The sequence below is a fragment of the Homo sapiens genome, chromosome 19 (assembly GCF_000001405.40).
Source record: "Homo sapiens chromosome 19, GRCh38.p14 Primary Assembly".
NCBI classification, from domain to species: domain Eukaryota; kingdom Metazoa; phylum Chordata; class Mammalia; order Primates; family Hominidae; genus Homo; species Homo sapiens.
In genome coordinates, this window is record NC_000019.10 from 37,462,332 (window position 1) to 37,488,977 (window position 26,646).

The 26,646-nt window shown below is 41.8% G+C and overlaps 2 protein-coding genes across 15 annotated transcripts in view, besides 2 other annotated features; one reads left to right on the top strand and one right to left on the bottom strand.

Annotated features, from left to right (window-relative positions):
• The window catches only part of ZNF569 (zinc finger protein 569), a 58,109-nt gene extending 51,175 nt beyond the window's left edge, over positions 1–6,934 (bottom strand). For 4 of the 9 annotated variants that reach the window (XM_017026379.2, NM_152484.3, NM_001330482.2 and 1 more), the window contains exons 1-2: positions 4,753–5,113; positions 2,982–3,142 (exon numbers count right to left, since the gene is read on the bottom strand). The gene's annotated coding sequence lies outside the window, so the exon portion shown is untranslated. Of the gene's footprint in view, positions 1–2,981; positions 3,143–4,407; positions 5,114–6,649 lie in introns of those variants that run through there. The other 5 variants (XM_047438278.1, XM_006723046.3, XM_006723048.5 and 2 more) reach the window with 5 other exon arrangements.
• Positions 4,934–4,983: an enhancer, noted in NCBI's record as "active region_14547". NCBI's record gives its function as "activates an Ori minimal core promoter by ATAC-STARR-seq in GM12878 lymphoblastoid cells {active_cell/tissue: GM12878}" and the evidence as "EXISTENCE:reporter gene assay evidence [ECO:0000049][PMID:35858748]".
• Positions 5,441–26,321, top strand: ZNF570 (zinc finger protein 570). 6 transcript variants are annotated; one of them, NM_001300993.3, is made up of 6 exons: positions 5,441–5,595; positions 7,146–7,226; positions 7,973–8,056; positions 13,550–13,676; positions 14,008–14,103; positions 21,548–26,321. In NM_001300993.3, exons 1-6 carry the CDS (start codon positions 5,560–5,562, stop codon positions 22,900–22,902), a joined length of 1,779 nt encoding a protein of 592 aa, NP_001287922.1. In that variant the 5' UTR covers positions 5,441–5,559; the 3' UTR covers positions 22,903–26,321. The 6 variants fall into 6 exon arrangements, with proteins under 6 accessions (NP_001287922.1, NP_001308922.1, NP_653295.1 ...); NM_001321993.3 differs by lacking the exon at positions 5,441–5,595 and having other exon boundaries at positions 7,025–7,226; positions 14,008–14,162; NM_144694.5 differs by lacking the exon at positions 5,441–5,595 and having other exon boundaries at positions 7,025–7,226.
• Positions 6,700–7,199: an enhancer, noted in NCBI's record as "active region_14548". NCBI's record gives its function as "activates an Ori minimal core promoter by ATAC-STARR-seq in GM12878 lymphoblastoid cells {active_cell/tissue: GM12878}" and the evidence as "EXISTENCE:reporter gene assay evidence [ECO:0000049][PMID:35858748]".
• Positions 26,322–26,646: the final 325 nt, after the last annotated feature.

Sequence of the window (26,646 nt, forward strand, 5' to 3'; positions counted from 1 at the left end):
TCTCTACCGGATCATTTCAATCAGTATATAAACAGAATGTGTACCTCTTAACTCCAGCTACCATTCCATTTCACTTCTTCCATTTAGAAAAAAAAAAAAAAAGTCTTCAAGAGTTGTCTAGACTTGATATCTCCAACGTTTTCTTTTCCAGTTCTCTCTTTGGCCTAAAATTCCACGGACACTGCTTTCAGGGTCCCTAATAAATGAATTTCATGTTGCCAAATTCCATGCTTCTTTCTCACTCCTCATTTTATGTGGCACCCGACACAGTTCTTGTTAAAACACATTCTTCCCTTGGTTTCCAGAATATCACACTCACCTAGTTTTCCTTCAACGTTTCAAGCTAGTCCCCATCAGTCTCTTTTGCTAATTCCTCCTTACTTCCCAGAGTTTGTTATGTTGGAGTGACTCAGAGATCAGTCATTTGCCTCTACCTTTCTCTATCTATCCTACCCTCTAAGTGACCTCATTCAGTCTCGTGTTAAATACCATTTATATGCTGATAATTCCCAAATATATGTCTCCATCCTAGATCTTAGATCTCCCTTTTGTCTCTCTTTTTGAATTTCATACTTGTATATCCAACTGCCAACTTGATATCTCCACTTGAATGTCTAATGGGCATTCTCACATTTCACATACTATATTCCAAACTGAAATCTCACTACATTCCAAGTCAGTTTTTCCTACATTGTTCCCCTTCTCAGTTAATGACACACCCATTCAAGTTACTCATAAAAACAGTATTGTGTCACCTTGTCTCATTCACACTCTACCTCAGTTTGTCAGCAAATCACAGCAGCTCTACCTTTAAATTATATCTAGTACATGACTACTTCTTAGCATTTTTACTACTCTGGTCCAGATCACCAATATCTTTTCCCTAAAGTACTACAATACAGTCATGTGCTGCGTAACAATGTTTCAGCCAACAACAGATCACATATACAACAGTGGTCCTATAAGACTTTAATGAAGCTAAAAAATTCCTATCACCTAGTGACATCATAGCCATCATAACATCGTAACACAATGCATTACACACGTAACCTAGGTTTATATAAGTACACTCTATGATGTTTGTGGTGATGCTAGTGTCAACACCCCTACTGCACTGATAGTGGTATAAAAGTATAGCACATACAGTTGTGTATGGTATTAGTATTTGATAATATTATTGATTATTGATCATGTGAATAGTACATAATACTTGACAATAATAATAAATGACTGTTACTGCTTTATGTATTTACTATACTATACTTTTTATTGTTAGAGTATATCCCTACCTAAGAAAAAGTAAACTATAAATTAGCCTCAAGCAGGTCCTTCCAGACGTATTCCAGAAGACATTATTATCACAGGAGATGATAACCATGCATGTTTATTGTTCCATGCATGTTTATTGCCCCTGAAGACCTTCCAGTGGAACAAGATGTGAAGGTGGAAGACAGTGATATTGATGATTCTGACCCTGTGTAAGCCTAGGCTAATATGTTTGTGTCTTAGTTTTCAGCAAAGGAGTTTCAAAAGTTAAAATATTTTTAATAGAAAAAAGCTTATAAAGATATAAAGAAAATCTTTTTATACAGCTGTACAATATGTGTTTTAAGTTAAGTATTATTATAAAAGAGTAAAAAAGTTTAAAAAATTTAAAAGTTCATGAAGTAAAAGAGTTACAGTAAGCTGAGGTTAATTTATTACTGAAAAAAGAAAAATGTTTTTATAAATTTAGTGTAGCCTAAGTGTACGGTGTTTATAGTCAACAGTAGAGTACACTAACGTCCTAACCCTTCATATTCACTCACCACCACACACACACACAAAATATATATATAGGTATACCAATTTTAATCGTATTTATTTATTTATTTTTGAGACGGAGTCTCACTCTGTTGCCCAGGATGGAGTACAGTGGCGCAATCTCAGCTCAATGCAAGCTCCGCCTCCCGGGTTCAAGCAATTCTCCTGCCTCAGCCTCCCAAGTAGCTGGGACTACAGGCGTGTGCTACCACGCCTGGCTAATTTTTTGTATTTTTAGTAGAGATGGGGTTTCACCGTGTTAGCCAGGATGGTCTCGATCTCCTGACCTCGTGATCCGCCCACCTTGGCCTCCCAAACTGCTGGGATTCCACCGCGCCTGGCCCATTTTTAATCTTTATATACTGCATTTTCACTGTATCTTTTCTGTGTTTAGATATGTTTAGATACACAAAGTCTTACTACTGTGTTACAGTTGCCTATGGTAGTCAGTACAGTAACATGCTGTACAGGTTTGTAGCCTGGGAACAATAGGCTGTGCCATATAGCCTAGGTTTGCAGGAGGCTATACCATCTAGGTTGTGTAAGTATACTCCATGATGTTCATACAAGGACAAAATTGTCTAACCATGCATTTTTCAGAATGTATCCCCATCATTAAGCAACACAATTGTAGCTTCCTAATTGGTCTCTGTGCTTCTTCCCTTGACCTCCCTGCTCTTTCCTCATTCGTCCTCCCATAGGCCATTCTCATCAGAGCAGCCAAAGCTGTCTTCTTAAATTGTAAGCAGATAGTATCACTTCCATGCTCAAAAACCCTCCAGCAGCTTCCCATCTCACTCAGAGGAAAAGCCAAAATTAATACTACGGGCCATAAAGCCCAATTTGATCTGCCCTCCTCCCATCCACTTACCTTTCTTCTCTTCTCTCCCACTACTCTCCCCTTCAATTATTCTATTTTAGCCTCTTCATTAACAGGCATGTTGCCACTTCAGAGCCTTTACAACTGCTGTTCCCTCTGCCTGGAATAACTTTTCTCACTCACGCATAAATAGCTCCTTTACTTCCTTCATATCTTTATTACTACCTTTTCAGGATGCCTTCCCTGGCGAGCCCATCTAAAACTCAGACTCCTATCTCTAGTTCTAAATATCCTCTCACTTCACATTTTTTCTTAGTATTCTTCACCATTTAAAATACTTCATACTTAATTTACTTACCTTGTTTATTATCCAGCCCACAAAAATGTAAGTACCATGATAGTAGGGGGTTTGTCTCTTGTTCACTGCTATATCCCAAGCACCTAGGATTGTGCCTGTTACACAGACAGCCTTCAATAAATGAGTCTATGAATGAATGAATCCTTAATATATGAAGAACTCTGGAAAAGAAATTTGAAAACAGAACACTACTTTAGAAAACATATAATTTACAAAAGATTTTTTTAAATGCTTGACTTCAATAAGTAATGAAACAATTGTTTTAGAGCAAATTAATTTATATCCATGAGGTTAACAAAGATTACTACTATTTAGAATATCCATTGTTATCAACAGTGTATGAGGATATAAGCAGTCTTATACTATGCCAATAATACTGCAGATTATTGGAACTTTACAGAATAATTGGATAGGTTCTGGGAACCTTTAATAAAAGCATACATTTTAACCTATCAATTCTACTTTTAGGAGTCTGCTCCCCCTCCAAAAAAATTTAGAAAAGTATATTTAAACACGTGCCAAATAGTTGCTGATAAACACAGTTTATAATTTCAAGAAGCTACAGAGAACTAAATCACCCATCAACAGGGGTAAACGTATACCATGAAATACTTTAAAATGAATGCATAATTTGTGATTGTTTAAATGGAAAGATACTAATCATACATTGTTAAACAAGAAAGGTTGGTTACAGAGCTGTATGTATAGTGTTACTGCAATTTTGAAGCCATTATGCACACATATAGAACATATGAATGTATACGTATGTATACACAAAGGCGGGGGTGAAAAGATGGAAAGTAAATTTTGACAGTAGTTGCATGGCCTGTAGAACTATGAATGATTTTTGTTCTTCGAGCTTTTCTGTATTTTTCTCCACCCCACTCCACTCCCCAAATGGGGTGGAGTAGGGAAGGAGGAGAATGAGTTTAGTAAGTACACAAAACAACGTAGCTAATACACGAAAATAAAATTAAAAATAAATAAATATTAAAGTGTTGGGGATATCGATGTTTCATATAAAAACATATTTCCGGCCGGGCGCGGTGGCTTACGACTGTAATCTCAGCACTTTGGGAGAACGAGGCGGGTGGATCACCTGCGGTCAGTTGTTCGAGACCAGCCTGACCCACATGGAGAAACCCCGTCTCTACTAAAAATACAAAATTAGCCAGGCGTGGTGGTGCGCCTGTAATCCCAGCTACTCGGGAGGCTGAGGGAGGAGAATTGCTTCTTCCCAGGAGGCGGAGGTTGCGGTGAGCCAAGATCGCGCCATTGCCCTCCAGCAGCCTGGGCAACGAGAGCGAAACTCCATCTCAAAAACAAAAACAAAAAAACAACGTATTTCCAATGACCAAAGCTAAAGACATGCAGCGCTGGCACAAACGCCAAGTCTCACACATCTACACCCACAAGCACACCCTACCTTGTATCCACAGTTTTTCATTCATTCAAGATCCCACTGTCATGCACGTTTGCACGCAGGTTCATACTGAAAGATAAAAGGGAAAGCGCCTCCACGAAATCCGCTTACGGACACGATCCCGGGGCCACACTCAGCCAGACGAATGTCTGGCAAATGACAGTCACTTCACGCCAGACTCTCACAGTCCTTCACACGCCACTCCCACTGCCTCAGGGAACCACAAGCACAGGCATCGCCCCGCCCGGCGTCCTCCTCCAAAGATTGGGGCACCAGGACCGCGGGCCCCCACTCCCACCCAGCACAAAGAGTCCGGCGCTCAGAGCTAGCGGTTTCCCGAGGACTCACCACCAAGCCCGCGGACACAGGCCCCGATTCCACACTTAACGCTGCCAAAGTGGCAGAGCCGGCGCGGGCTGGGACAGAGGCGGCACTGAGGCCGGCGCTGTCGGTGGCTGAGAGCGCCACAAGTCTCGGTCCGTTACACCAGGGGCGACGCTTCCCAGAGGCCCCCGCGGCTCACCCGGGCGGGACTGGCTTCACTGTTTGCGCGTCCTGAGAAGCAGACCACGGTGTTCCAGGGCTCACAGCTCCGCGCAGGGGAGCTCAGCCTAGGTTTTGCACGAGCGGCCTCCCGCGAGCCCAGCTCTGAGAGATTGGGAGCGCAACTTGGTGCTGAGAAGAATCGAATCGTTCCGCTGCTTCCTGCGCCGAACTACATTTCCCAGAGGCCTTCGCGGCCCTACTTCCCCGACCCCACCTGCAAAAAGGCACTTCCTTCTTACAGTCGGCTGGAGCTGCAGGTTCGCAAGGTCCGTGAAGGAAGCCCGGCTCAGTGTGTTTAGTTCCGTCTTTTTGGGTCTCTACCTGAGGCTAGAATACAGCGGGGTGAAGGTGGTGAGAGCTCCAGGGCCAGTGAAGGCCGGGTCAGCTGGAGCCTTAAGGTCCTGACAGCGGCTAGAAGAGGGAGGAGTGACGTAGTGTGACTGTATGTGTGAAACTTCGGCCATGGAATTTGGAGTGGGGTTTCCAGGGCGAGAGACCCTGTCCAGTGACATCTGAGGTCGTGCGAATATGCGACCTTTTGTGTGACCATGGTCGCGTTTTATATTCTCGTGGCTGTTTGATTCTGACCTTGCAGTTTTGTCAGAGACAATGTGCATGTATTTGTTCTTTCTGGACTTCTCGATTGTGAGTGTGACAGTGTTATTGGATTTCATGACCCGGGATCGTGAGCGAAAAGTAGTGTGGCCAGACCGCCTGACTTCTAAACAGACTTGGCCTTACTAGCTGTGTCATCTCAGACTAGGTACTTAACTTCTCTATGCCTTTCGTGTTTTTTTTTTTTTGTTTGTTTTGTTTTTTTTGAGGCAGAGCCTCACTTTGTTGCCCAGGCTGGAGAGTGCAGCGGCGCGATGTTGGCTCACTGCAGCCTCGAACTCCCGGGCTCAAGCGATTCTCTGCCTCGGCCTTCCGAGTAACTGGGACCACAATCAAGGGACACTCCGCCCGGCTGATTTTTGTTTGTTTGTTAGTAGAGATAAGGTCTCGCTATGTTGCCCAGGCTGCTCTCGAACTCCTGAGCTCAAGCGATCCTCCCGCCTGGGCCTCAAAAAGTGCTAGGATTACAGGCATGAGCCGCACGGGGCCGGTCTTAATACCTTTAATAAAGAGATAATAGGCCGGACGCGGTGGCTCACGCCTGTGATCCCAGCACTTTGGGTGGGCAAAGCGCACGGATCATTTGAGGTCACGAGGTTTTTGTTTGTTTGTTTTTTAAGACGGAGTCTTGCTCTGTCGCTCAGGCTGGAGTGCAGTGGCGCGATCTCGGCTCACTGCAACCTCCGCCTCCTTTCGCCTCCCAGGTTCAGGCAATTTTTCTGCCTCAGCCTCCTGAGTAGCTGGGACTTAAGGCGCGTGCCACCACGCCCGGCTAATTTTTTTGTATTTTTAGTAGAGACGGGGTTTCACCATGTTGGTCAGGCTGGTCTCGAACTCCTGACCTCGTGATCTGCCCACCTTGGCCTTCCAAAGTGCTGGGATTACAGGCGTGAGCCACCGTGCCAGGCTGAGGGTAGCGGGTGGGAGACTGCCAGGAGTGTAGTGCGCTTGCGCAGTTTACCACCCTGCATCCCCCCCACCCCGCTCCCCTCCCAATTTTTTTCGGGTATCCAGCACAATTCTAGGAATTCGCCTCCCACCCATTTTGAGTAGACGCGCCACTAGCGCGTTCCCACGCACAAACCTTTTCCCTGCGGCCAACCTGCGATTCTCAACTCCCCGCCCTGGTTGCTAAGGGAGGCGCGCAGAGCGCTTGTGCCTGCGCACTTCCACACCAGCCCGTGTAGTGTGACGCTGGGCCCCGTCCCTGTGACCGGGCCAGGCTCGGAGCTGCAGGGAATCCGGACTTTCGGGCTCTCTGGAAGGCCGGGGAGAGGCCAGTGTGGGAGGACCTGGTGGGGAGGAGGCCGTGTTACAAACCCTGCGCGGAGCTGCACCGCTGCTGCCAGACACTGCGACGCCGCGACCTTTTCTACTCCGGACTACGTTTCCCAGCGGACCCCGCGGGAGTTGGGCCGGCGGCCCCTTTGTGTCCTCCGGGGGCGGAGGCAGCTGAGGCGCTTCTTTCCGGGCCCGTAAGGGCTGGGTTCCATCCAACTAAGGGTAGCGGTGAGACCCGAGTGCAGATTCCCCGAGCCTTCGGGGCAGGAAGGAGATCTTCCACCAGTTCTGTTCTGCAGGTCGGGAGTGGGCTGAGGAGTGGCGTGTGGGTCTCCGGAAGCTCGTCGCAGGCCATCTGTGTGACTCCGGTGCGAGTGGAGGTTGGTACCGTTCAGTGCGAGGCTGTCACCCCGTGTGCCTGTCCACGTCCTGTGTGACTGGGTGCGAGGAAGTCAATGGCACCGTGGAATGTGAGGCTGTGAGTTGAGGCGGGAGCGGGCGACTGTTCGCTGCACCTTGTTGGGCCGATACCCGCGGCTTCTTTGTGACTGGGTTGTGAGATTGTCGCTTGTGATAGATACCCTGGTGGCTGAGCCTTGCCGGTATGGGAAAGGGTGCCCGTGTGAGGCAGTCCATACCCATGGCCTCTGACTGTGGCGTGGGTAAGACGGTGGTTGGCACTGTAGTTTTTCAGACTCTGATTATGTGGGGGATTGAGTGAGAGACTGTGTGCCACGGAGAGGCTTTTAAAGCCAGCCCAAGTCATATCAATGTGCCACCAAGTTTCAGAATCACTGATTTATTGGAGAGGAGGATTGTGGGGTCAGGTCCTCTTTTATTTGATCTTGGTGCTCTTATTTGTTAGTTCTGTGTCTTTATGTGAAAACTTACATTCCTCTGAGTCTGTATTTGTAAAGCCTAGAACATCTGTTGTTAACCTAAGGAATTGGGAAATGATTTAGGCATCAGTTAAATTGTATGCAAACAAATTCCTAGGTCTCCATTATGCTCTCTCTATTGGAGGGAAGGTTGCAAGAGGAGGAAAGAGAATCCTAAAAAGTCTAGACTGGTGATTCTGGATGCTGCAAGAAAAGTCTAGTTTCTCATGTTCTTTTCCCCATCTCAGTCATCTGAGGCCACTGCTATTTCCCAAGAGAAGAGCCAGGAGGAAGAAAGAATGGCTGTTGGGCTTCTTAAAGCCATGTACCAGGTGTGTTGGTGTTTTCTCGATTTCCTGAATACCTGTCTGCTTTTCAAAACAAGCAGGTACTAATTTTCCTTCTGCTGAAACGTTTCTGGGTAACCAGTCATGTCCCTTATCAACACTCTCCATTGGATTCCCATCTTATTCAAGATAAACGCGTAAGTCCTTGTCTTGACCTGCAGGGCCCTGCATAATCTGGTCCCTGACTGTCCCTCTGACTTCATCTAATTTTTCTCATCCTGTCTTTAACTCAGTCACTCAGTTCCAGCAACACTAGCTTCCTTGTAATGTGGTGAGTACATTCTTATTTATTCTTTTTTTTTTTTTTTTTTTTTTTTGAGACAGAGTCTCACTCTGTTGCCAGGCTGGAGTGCAGTGGCGCAATATGGCTCACGGCAACATCCACCTCCTGGGTTCAAACGATTCTCCTGCCTCAGCCTCCCGAGTAGCTGGGACGATAGGTGTGCGCCATCACGCCCAGCTAATTTTTGTATTTTTAGTAGAGACGGGGTTTCACCATGTTGGCCAGGATGGTCTGAAACTCCAGACCTCAGGTGATCCACCTGCCTCGGCCTCCCAAAGTGCTGGGATTACAGGCGTGAGCTACCATGCCTGGCCAGTGAGTACATTTTTTTTTTTTTTTTTTTTGTTGAGACGGAGTCTTGCTCTGTCTCCAGGCTGGAGTACAGTGGCACGATCTAGGCTCACTGCAAGCTCTGCCTCCCAGGTTCACACCATTCTCCTGCCTCAGCCTCCCAAGTAGCTGGGACTACAGGCGCCCACCACCACGCCTGGCTAATTTTTTGTATTTTTAGTAGAGACGGGATTTCACCATGTTAGCCAGGATGGTCTCGATCTCCTGACCTCGTGATCCGCCCGCCTTGGCCTCCCAAAGTGCTGGGATTACAGGCGTGAGCCACCGCACCCGGCCACTGCACCCATGCATTCTTAATGCATGGCCTTGCACTTGCTATTCTCTCTGCCTGGGATACTGTTCCCTCAGATACCCGATACAGACCAACTTCCTCACTCTAGTCTCTAACCAAAAACGTTCATTCATTCTAATTTTTAGTAAGCACCCATTACCACTGGGTGTCGCAGGTCTTAGTCCCTCATCCTGTTCTCTACACTTACTACCCTGGTGATCTCATCCTGTCTCATAGCCTCAAATACCATGTATATGCCAACAACTACCAAATTGTGTACAGCCCAGACCTCTCTCTTGAACTCTAGACTTGTATACCTGACTGCCTACATCTTCATTTGGTTGCATAAGAGATATGTCAAATGCAAACATCTTACAAATGGAGTGAAATGAGCCATTGGCGGTTTTGGAACATGAGTGACATGAACTGATTTTCATTTTGGTAGCATCACTCTGGTTGCTACTGAGAGTAAACTGAATGGGACAAGGATAGAATTAGGGAACTCAACTAGGAAACTCTTAACGTACTTCCTGGCTCCATTGCTTAAGCTAAACATCTTCTATCAGGAAATTAGAGACTTCAAAATACATCCAGAATCAGACTACTATTTTTTTTTTTTTTTTTTGAGATGGAGTCTCACTCTGTCACCCAGGCTGGAGTGCAGTGGCACAATCTCAACTCTCTGCAACCTATGCCTCTCCCTGCTTCAAGCGATTCTCTTGACTCAGCCTCCTGAGTACAGGCACGTGCCACCATGCCCAGCTAATTTTTGTATTTTTAGTAGTGACAGGGTTTCACCATGTTGGCCAGGATGGTCTCTATCTCTTGACCTTGTGATCCGCCTGCCTCGGCCTACCAAAGGCTGGGATTACAGGCATGAGCCATCGCACTCGGCCCAGAGAACTTTTTACTATCACCACTGCTTCCATTATGTTCTGTACCATCATCTCTCACCTGTGTTACTGTGGTACTCTCCTAACTTCTCTCTCTACCTCTACTCTTGTTCTTTTTAGTCTGTTCTCAATGGAGCAGCCAAAGTGATCTTGTTAATACATAAGTTGTATGATGTCATTATTTATAGGCGGGGGTGGGTGGAAGTAATAGAAAGCATAGACAACTCTTTCAAAAAGTTTAGCTATAAGAGAAGGAGAGACCTGGGCACGGTGACTCACGCCTGTAATCCCAGCACTTTGGAGACCGAGGTGGGCGGATCACCTGAGGTCGGGAGTTCGAGACCAGTCAGACCAACATGCAGAAACCCCGTCTCTACTAAAAACACAAAAAATTAACCGGGCGTAGTTGCGCATGCCTGTAATCCCAGCTACTCAGGAGGCTGAGGCAGGAGAATCGCTTGAACCTGGGAGGTGGAGGTTGCGGTGAGCTGAGATGGTGCCATGGCACTCCAGCCTGGGCAACAAGAGTGAAACTTTGTCTCAAAAAAAAAAAAAAAAAAGAAGGAAAGAAATGGGTGGTAACTGAAGGAGAAAGTCATAACTGACAAAGTTTCAGAAAGATGGATATATGTTGGCAGGCTGATGTTAAAGATTCAGTAGAAAGGGAAATTTGAAGATGAATAGAGAAAAAGGAATTGCTGGAACAATGTGCTTAAGTAGGTGAGAGGAGCTAAGTGTTTGGCCTTTTCTAGGAAAGTGGGTTGTTCAGTTATAGGAATAAGGGCATGTTAGGGTGTACAAGCACAGGTGCAGGTGGAAGTGTAGATGTGGTGGGAGTTTGTGGGAATTATCTTTCAATGGGTTTTGTTTTCTCAGAGAAAATAAGATTATCAGCTGAGAGTGAGCATGGGGAAGGAGATCTTGAAGGTGTGAGGTGAGAGGGGACAGTATCAAATGGTCATTTAGCAGAGTGAAGGGATGAATGGACTAGGGAAATGTATCATGCAGCATTTCCGCCCACTTGAGGTTAAGTGATCATGAATTTAAAGTGAGACTGCTTAGCATGGTTGGTATGATTTTCTCTAGCAGAGTTCAGCTATGCAGGATACAGGCACAGAGTAAGCAGAAAAATGGCTGTGGTTTAACCAAGTGAGTACAGTTAAGTGAGAGAGGGGCAGAGAAGACAAGGGCATATGCAGGGGGTGATTATAACAGGTGGTTGTGCTGGGAAGTGAGGGTACTCGGGGATGAGGAACAGTGAAAAAGTGGCAAAAAGTGGTAAGATCAGTGAATTGTACTTCTCCAGAATTTGATTTCTGGTGGAGTCAAATAACTATCCAGTTTGGGGTATCATAGGGCAACAGTTGAGGTATAGGAGGTAGAAGTCAGAGTGGGATAATTGAGGTTATGAAGGGTTTGGTACTGACTGGTACTGACAAGGTCTGGGTTATGACCATGGGAATGAATGACTGTAGAAGCGTAGAGGATGAGACTATTCCAGGAGAGAGGGGTCAGAGAACTAAGAGGCGAGGTTGTGGGGAGTATTATTTATGTGGATATCGAAGTGACCAAAGAATGATAGGAATGGCATTGAAGAGAGTAACAGTGAGTCAGGTGCTGAAGAATTTAAGGACTGACAGAGAACTGGTGTCTATCAGAAATTAGTAGATATATATCACAAGGAGGGATTGTGATTGACATATCCTAATTTCATGAGGTTTAAAACTAGATGTCTTTTAGGGAGGAGGAAATGGTTTGGAAATAAGAGCAAAGAGGTGACCTGCCTCACCTTCAGGTGCTGTGGTACAAGGAATGTGGGGAATAAAACATTCATCAGTGATAGGGCATCAGGGGAAGTCGTTCTCTCAGCTGGAAGCCATGTTTCTTTAAGGGCAGAAAGAAAACAGGAAAAAGTGGGAACTGTAGTTTTGCTTCAGACTGGTTTAATGATAATTGTGAATGGATTTTGAAACCAAGTATTTGTTAGGGGTCAAATATTTTAAGATCAGAATTTAAGCTCCTATGTTGACATAGAAATTATTTTTGTTGACTATCAAGAATCAGTGGAAAATATGTATGTCATATATAAATATTTATACATTTATTATATGTATTTATATAAGCTAAGGAAAACATTTTAGGAAGCATTGTTAGCAGGAGCAGAGAGGGAGAGATTTACCTACTTCCTATAATTAAGTAAGAAAAAAGGTGACTGAGCATTGAACTTGAAGAATTTTGCTTCTGTAGAGATAGTTTCTTTTGTTTTGTTTTGTTTTTGAGACAAAGTCTTGCTGTGTTGCCCAGGCTGGAGTGCAGTGGCCCAATCTCAGCTCACCGCAACCTCTGCCTCCCGGATTCAAGCGATTCTCCTGCCTCAGCCTCCTGAGTACCGGGGATTATAGGTGCGCACCACTATGCCCAGCTAATTTTTGTATTTTTAGTAGAGACAGCGTTTTACCATGTTGGCCAGGCTGTTCTGGAACTCCTGACCTCAAGTGATCCACCTGCCTCGGCCTCCCAAGTGCTGGGATTACAGGTGTGAGCCATCTCACCCAGCCTAGAGACAGTTTCTTTAACTGTAACAAAATTGTGTCAAATGCAAAAGGTTGCATTGACAGGTTCACATCTTTTAATTTTGTAAAAAATTAAATTAATACATACACATATAATGTATGTTTGTTTCATCAGCAAGTGGTCACATTATAGAAACCTGGAATCCAGTGGCATCACAGCAGCATTAAGTTTTTTTTGTTTTGTTTTGTTTTTGTTTTTTTTTTTTTTGAGATGGAGTCTCGCCCTGCCGCCCAGGCTGGAATGCAGTGGCACAATCTTGGCTCACTGCAACCTCCGCCTCCTGGGTTCAAGCGATTCTCCTGCCTCAGCCTCTGGAGTAGCTGGGACTACAGGCATGTGCCACCACACCTGGCTAATTTTTGTATTTTTAGTAGAGACAGTGTTTCACCATGTTGGCCAGGCTGGTCTCAAACTCCTAAACTCAGGTGATCCACCTGCCTTGGCCTCCCAAAGTGCTGGGATTACAGGCGTGAGCCCAGCTCAGTGTCAAGTTTTTAAGAACTTTCTCTAACCCCTGTAGGCAGAAGCAATATTATGAGTAGAACACCCATTTCTTTACACAAAATTTTGGGAACTCTGGATTAAAGTATTTGAATTTTAATGGAATTGATGCTCTGCTCTGCTTGGTCTAGCACAGTTTTCAGAGATACAGTGAATACTTTCTGGTATTGTTTTTGATCCCTTTCTAGCTTCTTGAAATTTTCTTCAAACCACTCATTGATTAATTCAACTGAGTCAGAATTTGAATACTTCACATGTGCCAGGTTCTATTCTGTACCTGGGGATAAAGCAGTGACCAAAGCCAAAACATACTCTGCCCTCATGGAGCTTAAATTTTAGTTGAGGAGGGTGAAGAACAGGCAATGAATAAAATAATTAAGTGCAGTGGAGAAAAATAAAGGAGGGTTAGGAAATAGGGAATTGGGGTGGAAGCAGTGCTATTTTATACTGGAATAATCTGAGATATACAAAGGCCCTGAGTACAAATATGATAACATGGTTACATATTTGAGGATGTAATATCAGAGAGAGCCCAGTGTGCCTAGGGCAGAGGAAATGAGGTGAATATGGTAAGAGATAAGGTTCTTCCATTTATTTCATTTCAGGAGTTGGTGACCTTCAGAGATGTGGCTGTAGACTTCTCCCAAGAGGAATGGGATTGTCTGGATTCTTCTCAAAGACATCTGTACAGTAATGTGATGCTAGAGAACTACAGGATCTTGGTATCACTGGGTAAGGATATCTTCTTGCAAAACTGAGCTTCTGCTCAAAAGGGGCTCTTTGCTACCACTATTGTGAATTTTTGGATAATATCTGCAAAATTTGGCTGAATGTCTGCTGCCTATGCCAAACAAATGGCTTAGTGTTTGTGGATTTGGCAGTGAACATATTCTTGGCCTGTGCCTGAAGCTTCATCTTCCTTATCCTTCTAATACATGTCCTTTACACATTTCTCTTTTTGCTTACTGTAAACTCCCTTTTCCCTGATGAGCTAAGGATTGAATGTGAGTTCTGGAATATCCACAGCATGACAAAACTCTACTTTTTTTTTTCGTATTTGCAGGACTTTGCTTTTCCAAACCAAGTGTGATATTATTGTTGGAACAAGGAAAAGCACCCTGGATGGTGAAGAGAGAGCTGACAAAAGGCTTGTGCTCAGGTTAGTGAAGAGGAAATTGGCAAAAATCTTTGCACGTGACAGCTCAGCTTGACTCAAAGGTATCACCTCTTCACTCTTCAGGCTTCCAAATTCTTCTCAAATGTTCTAGGTTTTCATAAAAATTTGGGGCCATTTAGGATGTTCTCCCACATTTGTTATTTTTAATTATTTCCCTTCTCTTACTTTCCTATCTCCTTTCTAACAAGTCCCATCCCCTCTCAGTTTCATAAGCCTCTCAGTCTTTAAAAAATCTTGTAGTAGTCTTATAAACTTTTTTTTTTTTTTTTTTTTTTGTGACAGAGTCTCGCTCTGTCACCCAGGCTGGAGTGCAGTGGTGCAGTCTCGGCTCACTGCAAGCTCCGCCTCCCGGGTTCAAGCAATTCTCCTGATTCAGCCTTCCCAGGAGCTGGAATTACAGGCACATGCCACCACGCCCAGCTAATTTTTGTATTTTTAGTAGAGACAGGGTTTCTCCATGTTAGGCTGGTCTCAAACTCCTGACCTCACGTGATCTGCCTGCCTCAGCCTTCCAAAGTGCTGGCATTACAGGCATGAACCACTGTGCCTGGCCTCTTATAAATTTTTGAGCTCTACAGAGCATCAGAAGTGTAGGCAGCCTTGGGGACTGAGTCCTCAACCTGAGGGATCTGATGCTATCTCCAGGTAGACAGTATCAAAATAGAGCTGAGGTAGAGGACACCCACTGCAGAATTCATTGCTTGCTTGTTGGTGGAGAGAAACCCCCACATTCAGTCACAGAAGCCTTCTGTGTTTATTGTTGTGGTGCGAGAGAAAAGGAAAAACAGGTTGCATGTGTGATTTTTCCTAAGGTGCTCATTGTGGGGGAGGTTGTCGTGTGTGTGTGTGTGTGTGTGTGTGTGTGTGTGTGTGTGTGTGTATTTGTAACTTTTTTTTTTTTTTTTGAGACAGAGTCTCGCTCTGTTGCCCAGGCTGGAGTACAGTGGCATGATCTCGGCTCACTGCAACCTCTGCCTCCTGGGTTCAAGTGATTCTCCTGCCTCAGCCTCCCCAGTAACTGGAACTACAGGCACCCACCACCACGCCTGGCTAATTTTTTTGTATTTTTAGTAGAGACGAGGTTTCACCATGTTGGCCACGCTGGTCTCCAACTCCTGATCTCAGGTGATCCGCCAGCCTCAGCCTTCCAAAGTGCTGGGATTACAGACGTGAGCCACTGCACCCAGCCTGTAGCTTATGTTTTTGATACTTTAAGAAACCTTTCTATGTTCTGAGTTCATATAGATATCTGAAAATAGTCTTTTAAAGATTGTCCTTTTATATGTAGGTCCATAATCCAATTGGAACTTATTTTTGAGGATTATTTTAAATAAGAATTTAATTTCTGTATCTTATGGAAAACCAAAGGTCCCAGATATTTTTTGAATAAGTGTTCCCTCTGCCTGTTTTTCTGAATGTTACCTCTTAATATACCAGGTTTTAGTCTATATATGGGTTTGACTTTAAGCTTTATTCAGTTTCATTGATCTCTGTTTCCTTATACCAGTACCACACTGTCTTAATAAAAATAGTTTATTAGAAGGATAATTATCTGCTAGGGAAAATCTCTACAGCTTGTTTAAATTCTTTAGAATTTCTTGTTTGCCCTTTGGACATCAATATAAAGTTTAGGGTCAACTTGTAAATTTCTATCAGAAAACAACAAAATGCTGTTAACTTTTGATTCAAATTTTAACTTTTGATTCAAATTTTATTTATTCTGTAATCAATTCTGGAAATTTTAAAAATTCATTAACATGGTATAGCTCTCCATTTATTTAGGTTTTTTCACTTTTTTCAGTGTTTTATAATTTTCTCCAAAAAAGGCTTTGCACATCTTCTGTTAGATTAAATTGTAAACATTAAACATATTAGTTTTGTTGCTGTGTTAAATGTTATCTATATTTTCTGTTTGTTGCTCATATATAGAAATGAAATTAACTTCGTATGCATTGGCCTTATATCCAGCAACCTTGCCAATCTCTCCTGTTAATAATATTTTTAAATATGTTTGGATTTTATGTATGAGTAGATATATTTGTGAATAATGGTAGTTTCTTCATTTTCAATTCTTATACCTTAATTTATTTTTCTGTTGCCTTTGTCGTATCTCCAGTATAATATGAATCGAAGTAGTGATAACAGGCATTCTTGTCCACTTCCGGTCTTAATAAGAATACTTTAGCATTTTGTTTTTTAATAATTTTGATGCTTAAAAGTTTTGGTACATACCCTTTCATTCCTGTTTGCTAGAGTTTCATTGTGGAAAGCTTTTGAGTTTTAACAAATGTTTTTCTCCATCTGTGGGTGATTTTTACCTCTTAATAGGTTTTAGTTTTTCACATCTTAATGTGGTAAATTACATACATTTTCAAATGTTGAACCAACATTGCATTCCCAAGTTAAACCCATCTTTATATCTTTTCCACTTTTTGCTAGTTGCTGTTTGCCAATATTTTGTTTGGGTGTTTTGCATCTGTATTTATTAGTGAATTTGATCTTCAGTTTTCCTTTCTTGTCAGATTTCGGAATCAAGGTTGATTAGTCTCGTAAATTCTCTTTTTCTTCTTTAGAAACATTTGTGTAAAATAAAAATTATTTGTTTTTTGAATGTTTGGTAGAACTTTGTTCATTTTGGCTTGGAATTTTTATTGTTAAAAGAATTTAAACTAATCATTCAATTTGATATGTTCTAAAATTCTAGGTTTTCTATTTCTCCTAGAGGCAATTAGGGTATTTTTTTCTAAATATTTTTAGTTTTGATGTAAGTTTTCAAACTTATTAGATGAAGTTGTCCATTATTTTTCTGGTTCTCAATGATTTCTTGATCCGTGAATTATTTAGAAGTTTGAAATTGAAGGCTTTTGTTTGGTACTTGTTTAATTGTATTATGGTTAGAGAATGGGATCTCTTCAATATACATTTATTGAAAGTATTTTGAGACTTGCTTTATTTCTTAGGGCTAGTTTTGGTAAATATTCTTTGTGTCCTTGAAAATAATATGTATTTTCTGGTTGTTGAATACAGTGTTTGATATTTGCTCATTAGGTTAAGCTCATTAACTGTGCTGGTCAAATCTTCTGTGTCCTTATGAATTTAAAAAAAATGTCTTTGAGCCATCAATTACTGAGAGACATGTTAAAGAAACTTCTACTCTGGTGGTAAATACATAAATTTTTTTCTTGTAATTGTAACAGCAGTTTTTTTTATATTTTGAAGGTATTTCATTTGGTCATATGTTTTTAGAATGTTTTATTTTTCTAGTGAATTCTTATATTATTGTTACTCTCTTTAATTCTAGTGACTATCTGATTAAGCAAAAAGAATTCACTTAATATTGTTATAGCTATATTTGCCTTTTGTTAATATTTACTTGATGTAGTTTTTTCCTACTCCTTTATTCTCCGGCTTGCTGTGTGTTTCTCTTATAAGCAGTATTTGGATAAACATTTTTTAAAATCCAGTCTGATAACCTTTATCTTTTAACCAAATGATGGTGGTGGTCAGTTAAATTTTTTGGTACTATTAATAGATTTGGATTTATTTTCCACTACCTCACTTTCTTTTATAAATTGTGCCTTTTCAAATTTTTCTTATTTCTTGGTTTTTCTCCATCTCCTAATTTGAATGTTTTACAATCTATTTCTATTCTGTACTGGTTACCTTAGAAAATCTAACATTTATAGTCACCTTAACAAAACCTAAAATTAATTCTAATCTTTATATTTGACCACTAAAAATACAAGAACGTAGCCAGGCACGGTGGCTCACGCCTGTAATCCCAGCACTTTGGGAGGCCGAGGCGGGTGGATCACGAGGTCAAGAAATCGAGACCAGCCTGGCTAACATGGTGAAACCCCGTCTCTACTAAAAATACAAAAATTAGCTGGGCGTGGTGGCATGCACCTGCAGTCCCAGCTACTTGGGAGGCTGAGGCAGGAGAATCGCTTGAACCCAGGAGGTGGAGGTTGCAGTGAACCAAGATCGTGCCACTGCACTCCAGCCTGGGCAACAAGAGCAAAACTCCATCTCAAAAAACAAAACAAAACAAAACACCAAGAACCTTAGACTGTCTTAACTTCACTTACCCTCATTTCAGTTATTCCTTGCTTTTCTTAAATTATTATTTTGCTTTATGAAGTTGTATAATAGACCATTATTATATTTATTTAATTTAGACCATATTATATTTAGTGTTGTTTAGATTTATCCACTTTTGGCTAGGTGTGGTGGCTTATGGCTGTAATCCCAGCACTTTGGGAGGCCAAGGCAGGTGCATCACTTCAGTCTAGGAGTTTGAGACCAGCCTGGGCAGCATGGTGAAACCCCGTCTCTACAAAATGCGAAAATTAGCTGGGTATGGGGTGTGTGCCTGTAGTTCCATTTACTTGGGAGGCTGAGGTGGGAGGGTCGCCTGAGCCCAGGAGTTCAAGGTACAGTGAGCTGAGAACGTGCCACTGCACTACCGCCTAGGTGACAGAGCAAGGCTCTGTCTCAAAAAAAAAAACAAAACAAAAAATTATCCATGTTTGTCATTTTCCCTGTTCACCATTCTGTCCCAGAACTTTTTCCTGAAGTAACTTCTTTATAAATATTTATATACTATTCATATCAACTTTTATTGTTGTTATGTTTTGTTCATTTATATGATAGTTTTGCTGTCATGCATAGAAGAAGCTTTCTCTGTCAGTCATAGATTGACAGATTTTTTTTTTTTTTGAGATGGAGTCTTGCACTGTCACCCGGGCTGGAGTGCAGTGGTGCAATCTCGGCTCACCGCAACCTCCCCAACCCGCGTTCAAGCAATTCTCCTGCCTCAGCCTCCCGAGTAGCTGGGATTACAGGGCGTGCCACCACGCCTGGCTAATTTTTTGTATTTTTAGTAGAGATGGGGGTTTCACTATGTTGGCCAGGCTGGTCTCAAACTCCTGAGCTCGTGATCTGCCCGCCTCAGCCTCCCAAAGTGCTGGGATTACAGGCGTGAGCCATTGTGCCCGGTGACAGATTATTTTTATGAGTGCTTTAAAGATACCATTCCATGCTTTTCTGGCTTCTGTTCTTGCTTTTGAGAAGTCAGTTTTCATTAATATATTCTTCCTTGCAACTTTTAAGAACTTTCTTCTTCTTGCCCTGGTTATTCTGTATTTTCAATGTGATGTATCTAGATGTAAATTTCAGCTGCTGTAGTTGGGATTTATTGTGATTTTTTTTATCTGACCATTAATGGACTCTGGGTAATTATCAGCTATTATCTCTTCACATATTGTCACTTTCCCATTCTCTGTGTTTATTTTTCTTAAAACTCCAGTTACATGTGCCTAAGACCAGACTCACCAGGGATAAATTGATGCTCCCAGCTTCAGTTCCACCTTACTTACTTGAAAGTGCCTTCCACAGTCTGTTTGACCTCTGAGAGTTTACCTTAATTTCTTGCCAGCTTGGTAATGCAGCTAAAAGAAAGTTTTTCTATTTCTACAAAATTGTAAGCTTTTTTGTACCAGGAAGATTTGTCATTATAACTAGTCTGCTGTATTGCCAGACTACTTTAGGTACCTCATATAAGTGGAATCATACAGTATTTGTCCTTTTGTGACTGGCTTATTTCACTTACTGTAATGTCCTCAAGTTATATCTGTATTATAGCATATGTCAGAATTTCCTCCTCGTTTAAGGCTGAATAATCTATTGTACGTATATACCACATTTTGTGGTGATTTCATGGAATAGCAACCAGCTATTACTCCTCTACTCAAACCACTTCAATGGGTCTCCATCTGTGTTAGGCCATTGCACTGCTATAATGAAATATAATACCTGAGACTGGGTAATTTCTACGAAAAGAGGTTTAACTGGCTGTCAGTTCTGCAGGCTGTACAGGAAGCATAGCGGCATCTTCCTCCGAGGAGGTCTCAGGAAGCTTCCAATTATGGCAGAAGGTGAACAGAGAGCAGGCACATCTCTTGGCAAAAGCCAGGAGTGCATGAGAGATGGGGGAGGTGCCACACACTTTTAAAGGACCAGATCTCATGAGAATTCGCTATCATGACACTACCAACAGGATGGTACTAAACCATTCGTGAGGACTCCACCCCCACGATCCAGTCACCTCCCACCAGGCCCCACCTCCAACATTGGGGATTACATTTCAACACGAGATTTGGATGGAGCTGTATTACCATCTGTTACGGTTTGGCTCTGGATCCCCATCCAAATCTCATCTTGAATTGTAATCCCCATGTGTTGAGGGAGGGACCTGGTGGGAAGTGATTGGATCTTGGGGGCAGTTTACCTCATGCTGTTCTCATGATAGTGAGGAAGTTCTCAAGGGACCTGATGGTTTAAAAGTGGCAGTTTCCCCTGCTTTCTCTCTCTCTCTCTCTCTCTCTCTCTTTCTTTCTCTCTCTCTCTCTCCCCCTCCCCCCCTTTCTCCCTCTCTCTGTCTCTCCTGCCACCTTGTAAAGAAGGTGCGTGCTTCCCCTTCATCTTCTGCCATGATTGTAAGTTTCCCGAGGCCTTCTCAGCCATGCAGAACTGTGAGTCAATTAAACTACCCAGTCTCAGGTAGTGTCTTTACAGCAACGTGAAAATGTTCTAATACACCGTCCCTCTCAGAGTAGAAGCCAAATTCTTTAGAAGGCCGGTGAAGCTTAAATAATCTCATTACCTTTTACCTCCTGACTTTATATCCTACTACTCACTCTATAGCCACACTGGCCTTCTTAATATTCCCCAGACATAGTAAACATGCTTCTAGTTTTGGGCCTTTGAACCAGCTGCTGCCTCTTCCCTGAATGCTTTTTCCCCAGAGACTTGAATGACTGACTGACTTTTTCACTTTCTTCAAATCTTTGCTTAAATGTTAACTTGTTAATGATTCCTAGCTCTAATTTCATCAGTATCCATGACATCCCCTACCCTGATTTTCTTTCTCTGAAGCACGTAGTATCTTCTAACATAAAATGAAATTTACTTATTTATCACTTATTTTCTGTCTCTTCTAAGAAAATAACATCCCTGAAGGTAAAGATCTTTGTTTTGTGATATTAAAAGCATCAGAACAGTATCTGGCAAAAGGTAAATATTTGTTCAGTGAATGTTCTTGAATGAAGCAGCTAAAAGAATGGAGACTGTTTCAGTGTCTATTTTATGAATACAGGCATAAAATTGTAACCAACTCTGACCACATCTCTAATTTCTTCTGCCCTGAGATTTACTGATTTTTCTTTTATAATTCTAATCATTCCTTCTTAGGTTTCTGTATGACCTGTTTTCAGTTTCTCTTCTTGTACACTTCAGAACTGCAAAAGCCAATGTTCCTGTGGGTTTTGCTATTTAATTCACATATTTTACTTTACAGATGTACTTTATTAAATGTACTTTCTGATACTCAATAGAGGAGACATTTTTTCTTATTATTACTTTTCAGGCTGGGAGCCTATATGTGAGACTGAAGAATTAACCCCAAAGCAGGATTTTTATGAAGAACATCAATCCCAGAAGATAATAGAAACACTTACAAGCTATAACCTTGAATACTCCAGTTTGAGAGAAGAGTGGAAATGTGAGGGCTATTTTGAAAGGCAACCAGGTAATCAGAAGGCGTGTTTCAAGGAAGAGATAATCACTCATGAAGAACCCCTTTTTGATGAGAGAGAACAAGAATATAAATCTTGGGGAAGTTTTCATCAGAACCCACTGCTTTGTACACAAAAGATAATCCCCAAAGAGGAGAAAGTACATAAACATGACACACAAAAGAGAAGCTTTAAAAAAAATTTAATGGCTATTAAGCCCAAGAGTGTCTGTGCAGAGAAGAAACTTTTGAAATGTAATGACTGTGAAAAAGTCTTCAGCCAGAGTTCATCCCTTACTCTTCATCAAAGAATTCATACTGGAGAGAAACCCTATAAATGTATAGAGTGTGGAAAAGCCTTCAGCCAGAGATCAAATCTTGTTCAACATCAGAGGATTCATACTGGAGAAAAACCCTATGAATGTAAGGAATGTAGGAAAGCCTTCAGTCAGAATGCACACCTAGTTCAACATCTGCGAGTTCATACTGGAGAAAAACCTTACGAATGTAAGGTATGTCGAAAAGCCTTCAGCCAGTTTGCCTACCTTGCTCAACATCAGAGAGTTCACACGGGAGAGAAACCCTATGAATGTATCGAATGTGGGAAAGCATTTAGCAACAGATCATCCATTGCTCAACACCAGAGAGTTCATACAGGAGAGAAACCCTATGAATGTAATGTCTGTGGGAAAGCATTTAGCCTTCGTGCATACCTTACTGTACATCAGAGAATACATACTGGAGAGAGACCCTATGAATGTAAGGAATGTGGGAAGGCCTTTAGCCAGAATTCACACCTTGCTCAACATCAGAGAATTCATACTGGAGAAAAACCTTATAAGTGTCAGGAATGTAGGAAAGCATTCAGCCAGATTGCCTACCTTGCTCAGCATCAAAGAGTTCATACTGGAGAGAAACCCTATGAATGTATTGAATGTGGGAAGGCTTTTAGCAATGACTCGTCCCTTACTCAACATCAGCGAGTTCATACTGGAGAGAAACCTTATGAATGTACTGTTTGTGGAAAGGCTTTTAGTTACTGTGGATCCCTTGCCCAACATCAGAGAATTCATACTGGAGAGAGACCCTATGAATGTAAGGAATGCAAAAAAACCTTCAGGCAGCATGCACACCTTGCTCATCACCAGAGAATTCACATTGGGGAGTCACTGTCACCACCCAACCCAGTCAATCACCAAGTCCTATAGATCCTGAGTCCTAAATGTTTCTAGAATTTATACTGTTTTTTATCTTTAATGTTGTCACCTTGGTCTGATTCATCTCACTCTGATTACTAATATAGCTTTCAAACAGGTTTTCCTGTATTTATTTTTGCTACCTTTAAATCCATTTCCCACAATGCACTCAAACGGATCTTTTTTTTCTTTTTTTTTCTTTTTGAGACAATGTCTTGCTGTGTTGCCCAGGCTGGAGTACAGTGGGACGATCTCAGCTCACTGCAACCTCTGACTCCCAGCCTCTGCCTCCAGGGTTCAAGCAATTCTCATGCATCAGCCTCCCGAGTAGCTGGGACTATAGACATGCACCACCATGCCTGGCTAATTTTTGTATTTTTTAGTAGAGATGGGGTTTTGCCATGTTGGCCAGGCTGGTCTTGAACTCCTGATCTCAAGTGATCTGTCTGTCTCGGCCTCCCAAAGTGCTGGGATTACAGGCATGAGCCACCACGCCCAGCCTCAAAGTGTTCTTTTTAAAGAATAAGAAAACACACATGGGCTGGGTGTGATGGCTCATGCCTGTAATCGCAGCGCTTTGGGAGGCCAAGGCAGGCAGATCACCCAAGGTCAGGAGTTTGAGACCAGCCAGACTAACATGGCGAAACTCCATCTCTACTAAAAATACAAAATTAGCCGGGCGTGGTGGTGCACACTTGTAATCCCAGCTACTCTGGAGGCTGAGGCAGGAGCATTGCTTGAACCCAGGAGGCAGAGGTTGCAGTGAGCCGAGATGGCGCCATTGCATTCCAACCTGGGCAACAAGGCTGCAACTCCGTCTCAAAATAAAAAGAAAAGAAGAGAAAAGAAAACACATGTTACTATCTCCAGTTAAAACTTTTTTTTTTTTTTTGCTTGTTATTGTTCTTAGACTAATATTCACAGCCTTTAAAATTGTCTGCAAGGCTTTTGTTATTTGGTTCTTACACACCATTCAGCCTTATTTTATTCCAGTCTTCTTCTTTGGGCACTAGGCACTTCCCAGGACTAAGAGCTTAGATTCTGGAAAATCATAGCTCCAACACTACTATGGCATTGCGTGACTTTGAGCAATTTGCTTATCTAAACCTCAGGGTTTTCTTTAAATCTTAAAATAGGAATAATATAGGATACTGTACTGTAGAAATGTAAGTATTAAGTGAAATAGTGTCTGTTGTAGATTGATGCATATTAAATGAGAAATTTGCATGTAAAATACTTCATATAGTCTGTCAAATATAGCAGATATTCAATAAATGATAATAGCTAACATGTATTGAGTGCCCACTACACATCAGGCACTGTCTTACATACTCTACATATATTAACTCATCTACTCCTCACAAAACAAGATTCCTTATTGGACAAAGTGGAGCATTCCTGCAAAACACCAGTTCAGAATTTGGAAAATCTAAAAATGTTAGAACATAAATGGCAGTCTTTGTACTGTAGCTTAGTAGTTGTTATGAAGTCAGGTAGTGGAACTATAACACTGACAGCCAGTTTTAGGAAGTTTCTACAGATAATGAATTGGATAAGCCAATTAAGAAAAATAGAATTCACTGGGAAGAATGCAGAACCTACATTTAAATCAAGGAAGGAATAGAAATGGTCACAATTAACCAAAAAAAATCAATAAACATAGAAATTCATGTGATCCCCTTAAATAGGCACCACACCCTGGCCAGGTGCAGTAGCTCATTCCTGTAATCCCAGCACTTTGGGAGGCCGAGGTGGGTGGATTATGAGGTCAGGAGTTCGAGACCAGCCTGCCTAACATGGTGAAACCCCATCTCTACTAAAAATATAACAGTTAGCCAGGTGTGGTGGCGCACGCCTGTAATCCCAGCTACTCAGGAGGCTGAGGCAAGAGAATTGCTTGAACCCAGGAGACAGAGGTTGCAGTGAGCTGAGATCGTGCTACTGCACCCCAGCCTGGGCAATACAGCAAGACTCCATCTCAAAAAAAAAAAAAAAAAAAAAAAAAAAGCACTACCCCCAGCTAATTGTATGGTTAAATTCGGGTAATTTAGAAGGCATGTAAAGTGTTCCATACTATAGAAAAATGTAAAGTTTTAAAATTATTTATCCAGTGGTTGCAAAATTGAAATCAAAAGGGGATTAAGGGAAGAAAACAGATAGATACACAAATAATATAGGCATTCATTCTGTTAATATTGAGTAATTACTGTTTGTCAGACACTGTTTTAGGTATGAGGAAATGACAGTGAGCAATACAAAGGCCACATTCTCATGGAGTAAAATTCCAGAGGTGGAGACATGTAATTAATACTTAAATATAAAACAGTAGATTTTCTAAACGCAGAAAACGGAAGAGTAACAAGAAACTAAATCAAGGAGCATTATATAGCCTAGACTGCAGAGACTCAATATAATAAAGTTGGCGATTCTTCCTAATTATCAAATTTACTGCAATTCCAGCCAAAATGTTTCAGTGGTTTTTTTTGTTTGTTGTTTTTGTTTTTGTTTTGCCCTTTAGCTTCACAGGTTTGTTCTGAAATTTATGAGGTATAAATTCTTAAGAGCAGCAAGAAAAATTTCGAATCTATTTGTAGAAACTGCATATGATGATGGTTCATACCAGTAGAGAGAAAGATTGGATTTGGGGGTATTACTAGTAGTAAGGGGATTCACTAGTAGTAAGGGAAATGCAAAATAAAATCACATTGAACTAGTTCAAAATCATCACATTGGCAAAAGCATTAGAGTGCCAATTACTGGAAAGATGTGGAGCAATAGGAACACTCATACGGTGCTATAGGAAGTAGTTGTGTTTAGCATAATTTGGCAATGTCTAGTAAAGTTGAAGATGTGAATAATCTTTGACCCAGCAATTCCATGTTTAAACCTCTACATAGTCTCTCCTCGTGTTTCAAGGAGATACATATGATGGTCCATTGCAGAACTGTGAGAATGAGAAGTTGAAAGCAATCTAACCATTAGGTTAAATACAAGATAGAATGCAAACTAAAATGAATAACTAGAGATATTTCTGTCAACATGGGTAAACCTCAAAAATAGTATTAATGAAATTGAACTACAGACTATTTTATATAATACAGTATAACGTACAATTTCAAAACATGCAAATTAGTGTTATGTATTTTTGTCATGGCTAAATACTATATAAAAAGGATCTAAAAGAATTAATAAAATAATCATCAGATTCAGAACAGTGGTGACCTGCAGGGAGAAAGACAACTGAGATTGGGGAAAGGATGCAAATGAAAATACCTTTAATTATTCATTTCTTTTAAAAATAAGCAAATACTGTATAGCCAATTCTTAAAATTTGATAAAGCTGGCTGTGAGTATATGAGTCAGTTCTTACTCTCTGTATCTTTCTGTATAAACTATTTCATAATGCAAAAAAATAAAGAATATTTAAATGATGTTTGCTTCTATCAGTTCTTTTTTTTTTTTTCTTTTTTGAGATGGAGGCTCACTCTGTCGCCCAGGCTGTAGTGCAGTGGCATGATCTCGGCTCACTGCAACCTCCGTCTCCCAGGTTCAAGCGATTCTCCTGCCTCAGCCTCCCAAATAGCTGGGATTACAGGCACACGCCACCACGCTCAGCTAATTTTTGTATATTTAGTAGAGATGTGCTTTTGCCGTGTTGGCCAGGCTGGTCTTGAACTCTTGACCTCAGGTGATCTGCCTGCCTCGACCTCCCAAAGTGCTGGGATTACAGGCGTGAGCCACTGTGCCCTGTCAGTT